This window comes from Homo sapiens, chromosome 13 (genome assembly GCF_000001405.40).
Source record: "Homo sapiens chromosome 13, GRCh38.p14 Primary Assembly".
Lineage (NCBI taxonomy): Eukaryota > Metazoa > Chordata > Mammalia > Primates > Hominidae > Homo > Homo sapiens.
Window position 1 is genome coordinate 20,567,314 of NC_000013.11, and position 15,292 is coordinate 20,582,605.

Consider the following 15,292-nt stretch of genomic DNA (forward strand, 5'->3'; position numbering starts at 1 on the left):
GGCGTCCTGTGTGGCGCATCCCGCCGAGGGCCTCTTCGCCCGTCTCCTGCCCGCCCCTGTCGGCCCCGGGGCGGTCTGAGGCGGGGCCCCAGATGGACTCGGCCTGCCCCTGCTTTTCTTCCTCAGGCTCCCGAGTTGTCTACTCAGAAACGCGGGCGTTGTTTCTCACATCGGTGTCCCCAGCTCACAGGCTTTTCTTGCTCCTCTGAACTGGGACGGGCGTCGCTGACCGCTTGGCGATGTCCCAAGTCCCAGTCACGCCTGACGGGGAAACTTAAAACCCAGTTAGATTACTGCGCCAGCTCTGGAATCGCACAGCAGAGATGGTGCACATCGCTCTTTAATTTTCTTGTTAGGTGAAGCACTTCAAATTGCCTGATGAAAGTTGAATCAGGAATGAAGATAAAAGTACACAACAATGCAGAAAGCGGTACTTAGCCTCACAAAGATGGAAACATTCCAAAAACGTGAAGTACTGTTGTCCCAAGATTCTTTCTAAGCCTAAAATTACACTTTTACTAGTCCGATTTTCTGGTTGTGAGTTTTTTTTGTTTGTTTTTTTTTTTTCGAGAAACTGCAGTAGGCTTCTTGGAAGTAGACCAAGGGTGTCCAATCTTTGGCTTCCCTGGGCCACATCGGAAGAAGAATTGTCTTGGGCCACACATGAAATTCACAAACACTAAGGTAGCCGATGAGCTTTAAAAAAAATCGCAAAAAAGAATCTCATAATGCTTCCAGAAAGTTTACGAATTTGTGTTGGGCCACATTCAAAGCCGTCCTGTGCCACGTGCGGGCCGGGGTTGGAAAAGCTTGAAGTAGACTGTCCATAGTCAGTAGAAGAGTATTAAAAAACATACCTTTCACTTAAAAAAAAAAAAGGTTTTGCCAGCATTTGATTTATATTAAACATAGGTGGCATCATCCCCAGATTATTTCAACATGGAAAAGTTTGTTACATGTATAAGCTGCTTTGGAAATTGCCTGGAGAATCCAGAAACCCTGGGTTGTATAACAACAGTTGTTCTGCCACCCATAGCTATTAGCCATGCTTGATTCCCTTCAACTTTCCTGGCCTCACTTTCCACATCTTTTAATATTTGTATGTTCCACAAGATGTCTATTCAACTAAAGTCTCAAGTCAAACCTTTTAAAAATCTGGTTACAACCTAGCAGAAAGGATTTCTCATTCTAAAAGTTGCTTCCTTCTATAACTTATGTGTCAACTAAGCTGACTTAAATAGGGTTCATAATCAGAAATTATGGTTCAGAATAGTGGTTCTCAAAGTGGTCCCCAGACCAGTAGCCTCAGCATCACTTGGGTTTAAGAACCACTGGTTTAGTATTATCTGAGCTAAAGCTTTTAATTAAAAATATTTTATATATCTTTTACCAGTGACTTTTAATACCTTTTTTTTTCTTTTTGAGACGGAGTCGCACGCTCTGTTGCCCAGGCTGGAGTGCAGTGGCGGCAATCTCGGTTTACTGCAAGCTCCGCCTCCCGGGTTCATGCCATTCTCCTGCCTCAGCCTCCCGAGTAGCTGGGACTACAGGCGCCCGCCACCATGCCCAGCTAATTTTTTGTATTTTTAGTAGAGACGGGGTTTCACCGTGTTAGCCAGGATGGTCTCGATCTCCTGACCTCGTGATCCGCCCGCCTCGGCCTCCCAGAGTGTTGGGATTACAAGCGTGAGCCACGACGCCTGGCCCTTTTAATAACCTTTTGAAGCTATTTTGGAATGCCATTTCTATGTGGGTGACATTTGCCCTCATAGTAGTTAATTTTCATCTTCAAAAAGTAATGAGAAATTAACTCAAAATGGATCAATGACCTAAATATAAGAGCTAAAACTGTTAGAAAAAAAGCATAGGTATAAATATTCTTGACCTTAGATTAGGCAGTTCTTTCTTAGATATGATACCAAAAGTACGTGCAACCAAAGGAAAAATAAATTGTATATCATCAAAATTTAAAACTTTTGGCCAGGCGTGGTGGCTCACGCCTGTAATCCCAGCACTTTGGGAGGCCGAGCCGGGCGGATCACGAGGTCAGGAGATCGAGACCATCCTGGCTAACACGGTGAAACCCCGTCTCTACTAAAAATACAAAAAATTAGCCGGGCGTGGTGGCGGGCGCCTGTAGTCCCAGCTGCTGGAGAGGCTGAGGCAGGAGAATGGCGTGAACTCGGGAGGCGGAGCTTTCAGTGAGCCGAGATCGCGCCACTGCACTCCAGCCTGGGTGACAGAGCGAGACTCCGTCCCAAAAAAAAAAAAAATTTTTTTAAACTTTTGTGCTTCAGAGGATAGTACAAAGAATGTAAAATGATGTACAGAATGGGAGAAAGTATTTGTAAATCATTTATATAATGTTTAGTATCAGGAATATATACAGGATCCTTATAATTCATGTGATAACCTGATTTTTGGGAATGAGCTGGCCGGGCGCGGTGGTTCACGCCTGTAATCCCAGCACTCTGGGAGGCCGAGGTGGGCGGATCACAAGGTCAGGAGATCGAGACCATACCGGCTAATACGGTGAAACCCCATCTCTACTAAAAATAAAAATAAAAATAAAAATAAAAAAATTAGCCGGGCTTGGTGGCGGGTGCCTGTAGTCCCAGCTACTCGAGAGGCTGAGGCAGGAGAATGGCGTGAAACTGGGAGGCGGAGCTTGCAGTGAGCCGCGCCACTGCCCTCTAGCCTAGGCGACAGAGCAAGATTCCGTCTCAAAAAAAAAAAAAAATGAGCAAAAGATCTGAACAGACATTTCTCCAAAGAGATATAGAAATGGATAATAAGCAGATGAAAAGATACTCAACATCATTAGTCATCAGGGGAATGCAAGTCAATACTACAATGAGATACCATTTCATACTCACTAGAATTGCAATAATCAAAAACAGGAACAGTAACAGATGTTGGCTAGGACATGGATAAATTGGAAACTTCATGCATTGCAGGTGGGATGTAAAATAGTGCAGCCACTTTGGAAAACAGTCTAGCTGTTCCTCCAAAAGTTAAACATAGAGTTACTATATGATCCAGCAATTCCTTTACTAGATATATTCCCAATAGAATTGGACCTATATATGCATGCTAAAACTTGTACACACACATTCATAGTGATGTTATTCATAAAAGTCAAAAAGTGGAAACAATTCAAATGTCCATTAACTAATGAATGGATAAGCAAAATGTTGCAGATGTATTTAGCCATAAAAAGTAATGAAATATTGATACATACTACTGCGTGGATGAACCTTGGAAGCATTATGCTAAGTGAAAGAGACCAGACACAAAAGGCTACATATTGTGTAATTTCCTTAATATGAAATGTCCAGAATTGGCAAATCCATAGAGACAGAAAATGGTTGCCAGGGACTGGGGAAAGGGAAGGGAGGCATGGAGAGCTGCTAACAGGCCCCATATTTCTTTATGGGATGATGAAAGTGTTCTGGAATTACATACTGGGGATGGTTGCACAACCTTGTGAATATACTAAAAACCACTGCACCTTGAAAAGTTAAATTGTATGGTATATGAATTATAGTTCAAAAACTAATAATTTTGTTAGTATTTAAAATATATAAATAATTTTTAAAGGTTATGAGAAGCCACATATATGTGGTATTATGCTGAGAAAAAGATTAAGCTGAAAATTTATTTTTTATTTATTTATTTTTATTATTTATTTATTTTTTGAGACAGAGTCTGGCTCTGTCGCCTAGGCAGGGGTGTGGTGGCACAATCTCGGCCCACTGCAACCTCCGCCTCCCAGGTTCAGGCCATTCTCCTGCCTCAGCCTCCTGAGTACCTGGGATTACAGGTGCCTGCTATCATGCCCGGCTAATTTTTTTGTATTTTTAGTAGAGACGGGGTTTCACCATATTAGCCAGGATGGTCTCGATCTCCTGACCTCGTGATCTGCCTGCCTCGGCCTCCCAAAGTGCTGGGATTATAGGCGTGAGCCACTGCGCCCAGCCTAAGCTGAAAATTTCTTAGGAATTTGCTGGTGCACTTAAAATGTACAGGCCTTAAGAAAATATGTATTTGCTTTAAAGAAAATACATTTCTTGAATACTAGCAATACTACATTTCTTGGGTAATTAGCCTTCCTCCACCTCCCACCCCTCAAATTGCCTAAAATATTGACTTGATTTGAATGATACTTCCAGGAATCCTTGCCAGATTCTTTAGTAATTATTAGATTTACAGTATATCTATATGGTAATTTCATTTCTCCCATGCTTCTGTCCAAGTCAAAATGTAGAGATGAATCTTGAAATTTTACATTTTTATTTGGGAAGAAAGAATTGCAGTTTGAGGACCAGGTGGTCTTTGGTATGTCCAAAGAACAAAGAGAAGGTTGGAGGTTTATCAAAAGGAGAAGTGTCATGTAGTGCTCTTTGAGAAAGTTCACTGGAACTAGTGAGGTTCTGGGAAGCTGGCAAGTTCTAATTGGTGGGTAGCTGTGGTGGGCACAATTAGTCCTATATTTGCAGCAAGTTATCTCAGCAGCTATAAATAAAATTGGCCTCAGGTTTTAGCAGCCAGTTTCAGCAGCCAGACTTGCAGAGAATTCCATTCTTCAAGCAATGTTATGTGTCCTGAGTGCCTCCCCACCAACACACCCCAGCTTCTTGACTCTGTTTTAGTTGGGTATGACAAGAATGACTCAAATTTGTATGATCAGCTTTCACTCTTCTGTTTCATTTTGCTTTGATATCTTTTTTTCTGTCTTGCATTTTTTCCCTCAACATTTCATTATGAAAATTTTCAAACATGCAGCAAGGTTTAAAGAATTTTATGTTGAATGTTACTCCTGCTACCTAGATTCCACCATTAACCTTTTTCTATAGCTGCTTTATCATGTACTTATCCATTTACCTATCTCTCAATCCATCTATCAAGCCATCTTTTTTTTTAGAGACAGAGTCTCACTCTGTCACCCAGGTTGGAGTGCAGTGGCATGATCTCAGCTCACTGCAACCTCTGCCTCCTGGGTTCAAGCGATTCTCGTGCCTCAGCCTCCCAAATAGCTGGAATTACAGATGTGCACCACCATGCCCGGCTAGTTTTTGTATTTTTAGTAGCGATGGGGTTTCACCATCTTGACCAAGCTGGTCTCAAACTCCTGACCTCAAGTAATCCACCCGTCTTGGCCCTCCAAAGTCCTGAAATTACAGGCATGAGCTACGGCGCCCGGCCTAAGCTGTCTTATTTTATGTATTTTAAGCTAAATTACAGCTATTACATGTTCCCTGAAATAACAGCATGCGTATCAATTATATAGTTCAATATTTGTTTATAGTTCTTACTTTTGAGGTAAAATTTACAAAGCAGAAATCGCAGTGTATATTTGCTGAGTTTTCACAAATGCATACACTTGTGCGACTCAAACCCCTGCCAAGATACAGAACATTTATCATCACCCCAGAAAATTCTCTCATGTCCCTTTCCATTCAATCCCTAACCCCCATCCCCAAGAAGCGATCTCAGTTCTGATGGTTTTCTACCGCAAATTAGCTTTGCCTGTTTGAGAACTTCATATAAAGGAAACAGTGCATAATGTACACTCTATGTAAGGCTTCTTTCACTCAGCATAATTGGGATTCTTTTTTATTGCTGGATAGTACTTCATTGCGTAAGTATGCCACATTTTGCTTGTCCATTTTACTGATGGGTATCTGGTTTGTTTCTGATTTTTCAGTATTATGAATAAAGCTATGACAAAGAAAAGAAAGGTTTAATTTGAAGAATGAGACTCTCCTCTAAATTACCAGGTCCAGAGAGGCGTGGGAGTGAAACAGCAGTCACATCTCCTTTACCTTCTTGGGCTAAGTAATCATGTCTTGAAACTTGCTTGCTATTGCCATAAGTAGCTATAAATTAATCTAACAATGGCACTGTCTGGATACTATAACCCATACAATGTAGCCAATCACTAATCAACGTTATTTTTTTAAACCAGTGAGAATTTCTGACAGACAGCTTTGTATCAGCCCACTCCCTGCCCCACTTTTTTGCCTTTAAAGATCTGCTTGAAACAAAGGCCAAATGGAGCGCCTGTCCAAGGTTACATGAAGTCTGAGTGTTCTGGGCAGGCAGCCGTCCTCATTTTGGCTCAAGTAAACTTTTTAGAATTGTATTTTATGCCTCAATTCCTTTCTTTAGGTCGACAGCTACTATGAACATTCTTATACAAATCTTTTTGTAGACATATGTTTTCATTCCTCTTGAGTAAATATTTTTGAGTGGAATTGCTGGGTGATAAAAGGTACTTTTAATAAAAGTTAATTTTATGAAACTGCAAGACTTTTCTCCCAAAGTGTATCATTTTACACTCCCATCAGCAACGTGTGAATACTCTGGTTGCTCCACATTTTTGCTGACATTATGTGTTGTTGGTCTTTTTAATTTTACACATTCTGATGGGTATGTGGTGGCTTCTGCCTTGCATTTTAATTGACTGTTGCATACCTTTCTTCTGCACTTGATACTAAGCTTCCATGAAAATCAGGACAATCAATTGTACCCCCTCTAGTGCCTGTCACTGTTCTTTCAGTGTCGTAGTTGTGAAATAAATGTGAAATGAGGACAATAACTTAATGTTTTGACATCTAGTTTTGGGAATTTGATGTGAAAAAAATTGAAGCCATGAAAATATATATAGATAAATTTGACCACAAATGTCATTAAATAGTTATACTTTATTGGAATTAAGAATTATTTCTGGCCTGGCGTGGTGGCTCATGCTGGTAATCCCAGCATTTTGGGAGGCCAAAGTGAGAGGATCACTTGAGCTCAAGAAATTGAGTCCAGCCTGGGCAACATAGGGAGATCCCATCTTTACAAAAAATTTCAAACTTAGTTGGGTGTGGTGGCACAAGCCTATAGTACCAGGGAGGCTGAGGTGGGAGGATCACTTGTGCCAGAGAGATCAAGGCTATAGTGAGCCGTGATTGTGCTACTGCATTCCAGCCTGGGCAACAGAGCAAGACATATCTCAAAAAATATATATATATATTTCTTATACCAAGAACATATTTACACTGCCAGTTTTTCCTAGGTACAAATGATGCAAAATGTGCACCTGGCTCCAGAGACAGATGAAGATGATCTTTATTCCGGCTATAATGACTACAATCCAATCTATGATATCGAGGTAACAAAAGCTAGTTGTTTTTTACATTGGTCTTGGTTAACCAGCTGGTTTATGAAGACTGTGGATTTGAGAGTTCTACTTTATTATGCTTTAGATTAAATAAGCTGATTCAAAAACCTAGAAAAGTGCTATTACAGAAGACTCTACTGACTTCCACCAAAAATAATAATTGCAGCAGAAGGAAAGATCATGAGACAGGTTACAAAAATGAATTAAGGTGAATTATATATACTTGTATTCTTCAGCACTAGCTATCCAAATGTGTAAAAGACTTAGATCACCTGAAAGTATTTAAAATTAGGGTTTTAAGAAAAATTTTAAAGTTGAAATGTCTTGTTTTTTGGTTTTAATTTTTGTGAGTACATAGTAGGTGCATATATTTATGGGGAATATGGGATATTTTGATACAGGCATACAATGTGTAATAATCACATAAGGGTAAATAGGGTTTCTGTTACATCAAGCATTTATCCTTTGTGTTCCAAACAATCCGATTATATTCTTTTAGTTATTTTTAAATGTACAATTAAATTATTGACTATAGTCACCCCATTTTGCTATCAAATACTAGATCTTACGCTTTCTTTTTGTTTTTTTTTTTGTACCTATTAACCATTCTCACCCCCTCCCCTGCCACTACCCTTCCCAGCCTCTGGTAATCATCCTTCTATTCTTTATCTCCTTGAGTTCAGTTGTTTTAATTTTTAGATCCCAGAAATAAGTGAAAACATGCGATGTTTGTCTTTCTGTGCCTGGCTTATTTCACTTAATAGAATGGCCTCCAGTTCCATCCACATTATTGCAAATGACAGGATCTCATTCTTTTTTATGGCTAGTTTTCCATTGTATATATGTACATTTTCTTTATCCATTTGTCTGTTGACAGACACTTAGGTTGCTTCCAAATCTTGGCTATTGTGAATACTGCTGCAGCAAACATGGGAGTGCAGATATCTTTTTGATATACTGTGATAGAGTTTGTATATTTATCCCCACGCACATCTCATGTTGAATTGTAATACCCAGCATTGGAGGTGAGACCTGGTGGGAGGCGATAGGATCATGAGAGTGGATTTCTCATGAATGGTTTAGCATGATCTTCTTGGTGCCATCCTCACCCCATGTGATGTGACTGCTCCCATTTTGCCTTCTGTCATGAGTGAAAGCTCCCTGAGGCCTCCCCAGAAACTGAGCAGATACTGATATCATGCTTGTACAGCCTGCAGAACGATGAGCCAATCAAACCTCTTTTCTTTATAAATTACCCAATCTCAAGCATTCTCTGGTGCAAAAGTAACTGCAGTTTTTGCCATTTTAATTGCAAAACTGCAATTACTTTGGCGCCAACCTAATAGCAATGCAAGAACGGCCTGGTACATACTGATTTCTTTTCGTTTGAGTATATTCCTAGCAGTGGGATTGTTGGATCATATGATAGATCTATTTTTAGTTTTTTGAGGAACCTCTAAACTGTTCTCCATAGTAGTTGTACTAATTTACATTCTCACTAACAGTATATGAGGGTTCCCTTTTCTCCACATTCTCACCACCATTTGTTATTACCTGTCTTTTGGATAAAAGCCATTTTAACTGGAATGAGATGACATCTCGTTGTAGTTTTGATTTCCATTTCTCTGATGGTCAATAATGTTGAGCACTTTTTCATATACATGCTTGCCATTTGTATGTCTTCTTTTTAGAAATATCTATTCAGATCTTTTGCCCATTTTTAAATCAGATTATTAGATTTTTTCCTACAGAGTTGTTTGAGTTCCTTACATATTCTGGTTATTAATCCCTTGTCAGAGGGATAGTTTATAAATATTTTCTCCCATTCTGTGGGTTGTCTCTTCACTTCATTGTTTCCTTTGTCGTGCAGAAGCTTTTTAACTTGATGTGATCTCATTTGTCCATTTTTGCTTTGATTGCCTGTGCTTGTGGGGTATTACTCAATAAATCTTTGCCCAGTCCAGTGTCCTGGAGAGTTTCCCTAGTGTTTTCTTTTAGTAGTTTCATAGTTTGAGGTCTTAGATTTCTAAGTCCTTCATCCATTTTTATTTGATTTTTGCATATGGTGAGAGATAAGGGTCTAGTTTCATTCTTCTGCATGTGGATATTCAATTTTCTCAGCACCATTTATTGAAGAGAATGTCTTTTCCCTAATGTATGTTTCTGGCACCTTTGTCAAAAATGAGTTCACTGTAGATGTCTAGATTTGTTTCTGGGTTCTCTATTCTGTTCCATTAGTCTGTCTGTTTTTATGCCAGTATCATGCTGTTTTGGTTACTATAGCTCTATAGTGTAATTTGAAGTCAGGTAATGTAATTCTTCAGTTTTGTTCTTTTTGCTCAGGACAGCTTTGGCTATTCTGGGTCTTTTGTAGTTCTATATAGACTTTAGGATGTTTTCTTCTGTTTCTGTGAATAATGACATTGGTATTTTGATAGGTGTTGCACCGAATCTGTAGATTACTTTGGGTAGTATGGACATTTTAACAATATTGGTTTTTCCAATCTATGAACATGAAACATCTTTCCATTTTCTTATGTCCTCTTCAGTTTCTTGCACCAATGTTTTATAGGTTTCATTGTAGATATTTTCACTTCTTTGGTTAAGTTAATTTCTAGATATTTAATTTTATTCGTAGATATTCTAAATGGGATTACTTTCGTGATTTATTTTCCAGATTGTTCACTTTTGACATATAGAAATGCTACTGATTTTTGTAGGTTGATTTTGTATCCTGCAACCTTACTGAATTTATCAGTTCTAATAGTTTTTTGGTGGAGTCTTTATGTTTTTCCAAATATAAGATCATATCATCTATAAACTAGGGTAATTTGACTTTTTCCTTTCTGGTTTGGATGCCCTTTATTTCTTTCTCTTGCCTGATTGCACTAGCTAGGATTTCCAGTACTATGTTGAATAACAGTGGTGACAGTGGTCATCCTTGGCATGTTCCAGATCTTAAAGGAAAGGCTTTCAGTTTTTTTTCATTCAGTATATTAGTTGTGAGTCTGTTACATGACTTTTTTCACGTTGAGGTATGTTTCTTCTATACACAGTTTTTTTTTAGGGTTTTTATGAAGGGATGTTGAATTTTACCTAATGCTTTTTCAGCATCAGTTGAAATGATCATGTGGTTTTTGTTCTTTATTCTGTCGATATGATGTATTACATTGATTGATTTGCATAAGTTGAACCATCCTTGCATCCCTGGGCTAAATCCCACTTGGTGATGATGAATGATCTTTCTAATGTATTGTTGGATTTGGTTTGCTAGTGTTTTATTGAGGATTTTTGCATCAATGTTCATCAGGGATGTTGGTCTATAATTTTCTTTCTTTGATGCATCTTTGTCAGGTTTTGGTATCGGTAATACTGGCCTTATAGAATGAGTTTGGAAGTATTTCCTCTTTCTCTGTTTTTTGGAGTAATTTGAGTAGGATTTATATTAGTTCTTCTTTAAATGTCTGGTAAAATTCAGCAGTGAAGCCATCAGGTGCCGAGCTTTTCTTTGCTGGGAGACTTTTTATTGTGGCTTCAGTCTTGTTACTTCTTTTTTTTTTTTTTTTTTTTTTTTTTTTCAGATGGAGTCTCACTCTGTAGCCCAGGCTGGAGTGCAGTGGTGCAATCTCAGCTCACTGCAAGCTCTGCCTCCCAGGTTCACGCCATCCTCTTGCCTCAGCCTCCCGAGTAGCTGGGACCACAGGTGCCTGCCACCACGCCTGGCTAATTTTTTGTATTTTTTTTAGTAGAGACAGAGTTTCACCGTGTTAGCCAGGATGGTCTCGATCTCCTGACCTCATGATCAGCCCGCCTCGGCCTCCCAAAGTGCTGGGATTACAGGCGTGAGTCATTGAGCCTGGCCCAGTCTTGTTACTTTTTTTTTTTTTTTTTTTTTTTCAGTCTTGTTACTTCTTATTGGTCTGTTCAGGTTTTGGATTTCTTCATGGTTCAATCTTGGTAGGTTGTATATGTCTAGGAATTTATCTCTTTCTTCTAGGTTTTCAATTTATTGGTATATAGGTGCTCATAGTAGCTTCTAATGATCCTTCAAATTTCTGGTTTTGTTGTAGTTGTTGTTGTTTGAGACAGAGTCTCGCTCTGGTTGCCCAGGCTGGAGTGAAATGGTGCAATCTCAGCTCACTGCAACCTCTGCTTCCTGGGTTCAAGTGATTCTCCTGCCTCAGCCTCCCAAGTAGCTGGGATTACAGGCATGTGCCACCACGCCCGGCTAATGATGTATTTTTAGTAGAGATGAGGTTTTACCATGTTGGTTCGGCTGGTCTTGAACTGCTGACCTCAGAAGATCTGCCTGCCTAGGCCTCCCAAAGTGCTGGGATTACAGGTGTGAGCCACCGCATCCAGCCGATCCTTCACATTTCTATGGTATCAGTTGTAATGTCCCTTTTTTATCTCTGATTTTACTTATTTTGGTCTTCTCTCTTTCTTTGTAGTTAGTCTGGCTAACGGTTTGTCAATTTTATCTTTTCACAAAACCAACTTTTTGTTTTGTTGATCTTTTGTATTGTTGTCTTTGATTCATTTTCATTTATTCTGCTCTGATATTTATTATTTTCTTTGGGTTTGGTTTGCTTTGCTTTTCTAGTTCGAGATGCATCATTAGGTTATTTGAAGTTTTTCTTCTTTTTTGATGTAAACACTTATAACTATAAACTTCTCTCTTAATACTGTTTTCACTGTATCCCACAGCTTTTGGTGAAACCAGCCAGGCTTGTATCCTTCCCTTAAGTCAACCAGTTCCCCTGGGCCCTGGGTGGGTCCAGAGATGCTGTCTGGGAGCCAGGGCCTGGAGTCAGAATCCTTAGAAATTTGCTTGGTGCTCTATTCTTCTGCTGCTGCTGAGCTGGCACTGAACCGTAAGACAAAGTCCTTTCCACTCTTTCCACCCTTTTCCCCAGGCAGCAGATTCTCTCCTGTGTCTGTCACCACAACAGACCCGCAGAGAGTACTACCAGGGTATCGCCAATGTTTACTTAAGGCCCAAGGGCTATTCCTTCAGGTTTTGGTGAATTCTGCCAGGCCTGGGACTCACCCTTCAAGGCAGTGGGTGTCCCTCTGGCTCAGGGTAGGTCCAGAAATGCTACCCAAGAGCCAAGGCCTGGAATCAGGGACCCTAAGAACCCACTTGATGCTCTAACCCACTGTGGCTGAGCTGATACCTAAGTTGCAAGACAAAGTCCCCTTTACTCTCCCCTCTTCTCATCTCAAACAGAAGCAGTCTCTCTTTGTAGCCACCACAGCTGTGAATGTGCTGGGTCACACCTGAAACCAGTAGATCTCAGAGTCTCACCCAAGTCCCACTGTATGTACTACCTGGTTATTGCTGCTGATTATTCAGGACCCAAGGGCCCTTTATTCAGCAGTGACGAATCCTGCCATGGCTGGGTTCTTTCCTTCAAGGGAATTTAGTATAAATCAGGAAAACCATTGAAACCTCCTCATTCTCCCAATTATAAAATTAAGAAATGCTTATGGAAACAAAAACTAGTAATCCCATCACTCAAGAAATAACTACTGTCAACATTTTAAACATTTTTGTGCTTTGTCTTTCCTTCATGTATACATACACAATTTTCTTTTAGTATGTTTGGAATTGAACTAGTAATTACTTTTCTGTTTACTTTTTTACATTCAACTACATCATAAGCAGTGTCTCATGATACTAAATATTTGAATATTACTTTAATGACTACATAATATTGAAAATATATAGGTGATTAGAAGTATTTTCTCTGCCAGACGCGGGGACTCACACCTATAATCCCAGCATTTTGGGAGGCTGAGGTGGGCAGATCATCTGAGGTCCGGAGTTCAAGACCAGCCTGACCAACATGGTGAAGTTCTGTCTCTACTAAAATACAAAAATTAGCCAGCCGTGGTGGCGGGCACCTGTAATCTCAGCTGCTTGGAAGGCTGAGGCAGGAGAATAGCTTGAACCCAGCAGGTGGAGGTGGCAGTGAGCCAAGATCACGCCATTGCACAATGAGCCAAGATCACGCCATTGCACAACAGAGCAAGAGTCCCTCTCAAAAAAAATAAAAAAACCTAAAGAAGTATTTTCTCATGATAGGATATTTTTTCCTGTTTTCTGCTATTGTAGATAACATTGTAGTGAAAAAATTTATGCATAAATAATTTTCTATGTTTTGATCAAACACTACCTGGGATAGAGTCCCAGAAATGGAATTAATGGATCATGGATCATGAAGATTTTCTTTTTTCTTTTTTTTTTTTTTTTTTTGAGATGGAGTCTCGCTCTGTAGCCCAGGGTGGAGTGCATTGGCGCGACCTCTGCTCATTGTAAGCTCCGCCTCCCAGGTTCATGCCATTCTCCTGCCTCAGCCTCCTGAGTAGCTGGGACTACAGGCGCCCGCCACCACGCCTGGCTAATTTTTTGTATTTTTAGTAGAGATGAGGTTTCACCGTGTTAGCCAGGATGGTCTCGATCTCCTGACTTCATGATCCGCCCACCTCAGCCTCCCAAAGTTCTGGGATTACAGGCATGAGCCACCGCCCCGGCCTGAAGATTATTATTTTTAAAGCACCAGGGACACTTCCTACCTCCTCAGGTTGTTGCACTGTGGCTGCATAATTTAATGTGAAGTGAATACTCAGAATATCAGACCCAAAAATAAATTAGACAGTGAAGTAAAAATAATTTTTGGCTTATGCTTGGTTTTCTTTGATCTTAACTGTAATAATAACAAGTTCAATAAATAAATGAATTACTTGCAGCAGTGGCTTAAGATATTCATAGAAGATGCAATTTGTTAACAAAGTGGCAAAGAGTTCCAAAAGTTGTATAAGTTTGGTGTTTGTAATTGGAGAATTTGTTGACTGTCCTTTTTAGTTTGTCATTTAGTTAGGATTTACTGAGCTGATTAACCAAATTTTACTAATAATTTAGGAATCTTAAGGGAAATTTTTTTACCCAAAGATCTGCTAAAGTAGAAGTATAATAAATTATGTTGAAGGTTACCTTTGGATTTATACTTCATTCAAAAGTCTTTAGTTTCTATGGGTAACTGAGAATCGTGTAATTTTATGTAGTTGATATGGAAGGTTACAAGGATAATTTAGGCTGGGCACAGCGGCTTATGCCTGTAATCCCTTTAGGAGGCTCAGGGGTGGATCACTTGAGCTCAGTTTGAGACCAGCCTGGGTAACACGGCAAAATCCTGTCTCTAAAAAAATACAAAAATTAGCAGGTTGTGGTAGTGTGTGCCTGTAGTCCCAGCTCCTAGGGAGACTGAGGTGGGACAATCACCTGAGCCTGGGAAGTTGAGGCTGCGGTGAGCTGTGATCGCACCACTGTACTCCAGCTTGGAGGTTGGAGTGAAACCCTGTCTCAAAAAAAAAAAAAAAAAAGATAATTTAAAGTAAAAATTAAGAAGACTTGTATGCAATAAAACTGTGTTTTAAAAGCACTGTATTAGCATCCTGGTAATATAAACATTTTATTTTGATTATTTTCAAATTTTTAAAAAGTTAATTGATAGTGACTTTATTTTTTTTTGTATTGTTTATTTTTAAAATAATTGACAAGTGTGTATTTTTGTGGGAAGTAGATTGAAATAAATCAGAGGCAAGGATGAGAACTGCATTTAATGTGTCTGAAGGGTTAAAGCCGGAGTGTGTGTTAGAGAAGGGGAAGTAGGAAATACGGGATGGTTGGAAGATTGACTGTTGGTGAGACTGGGTGCTTTTGAGAGACTATAAAAATGGTATTTTGTTCAGGAAACACAGGAACCCTTATATCCTGCCCTTGATTACTGTTCTTTTCCTCAAATTTCCTGAAGGGGAATGTAAGTACATTTCAGGAATCAGCAAAGCAAAATAACATTTTATTTCTACTGAGATGTTGATTCCAAATGGCAGTGCAGGTTGGACTTGTTGAGCCCCCCCATTTGCTTAGATTAGCTCCAGTCTGCGTCTCAGACTTGACCTCTCCAGTGAGATGAAAAATCCTTTTCATTTGGGCAGATGGAAATGGCACCAAAGAGAGTGCCCCCTGCTTGTAGAAAATATGGCCTTTTCTATCCTGAGGTAGGGTGGGAGAAGAGGAGAAAGACAGGGGGATGGTGGGGAGAGAGAGAGAAAGAG

At 39.7% G+C, this 15,292-nt stretch overlaps 1 protein-coding gene across 58 annotated transcripts in view, besides 1 other annotated feature; it reads left to right on the forward strand.

The window, feature by feature from the left end:
* Positions 1–15,292, forward strand: part of IFT88 (intraflagellar transport 88) — a 124,288-nt gene that overhangs the window by 157 nt on the left and 108,839 nt on the right. For 18 of the 58 annotated variants that reach the window (NR_148464.2, NR_148465.2, NM_006531.5 and 15 more), the window contains exon 2: positions 7,067–7,162. Coding sequence is in view for 51 of the 58 variants with exons in the window: in NM_006531.5 (NP_006522.2) it covers positions 7,073–7,162 (90 nt within the window). In the remaining 7 variants the exon portion in view is untranslated. Of the gene's footprint in view, positions 1–356; positions 685–5,707; positions 5,839–7,056; positions 7,163–15,292 lie in introns of all 58 variants that reach the window. The other 40 variants (NR_134653.2, XR_007063700.1, XM_017020763.2 and 37 more) reach the window with 9 other exon arrangements.
* Positions 49–237: a silencer, noted in NCBI's record as "fragment chr13:21141501-21141689 (GRCh37/hg19 assembly coordinates)". NCBI's record gives its function as "represses an EF-1alpha promoter that drives an FKBP-Casp9 reporter gene in an ReSE screen in K562 erythroleukemia cells {active_cell/tissue: K562}" and the evidence as "EXISTENCE:reporter gene assay evidence [ECO:0000049][PMID:32094911]".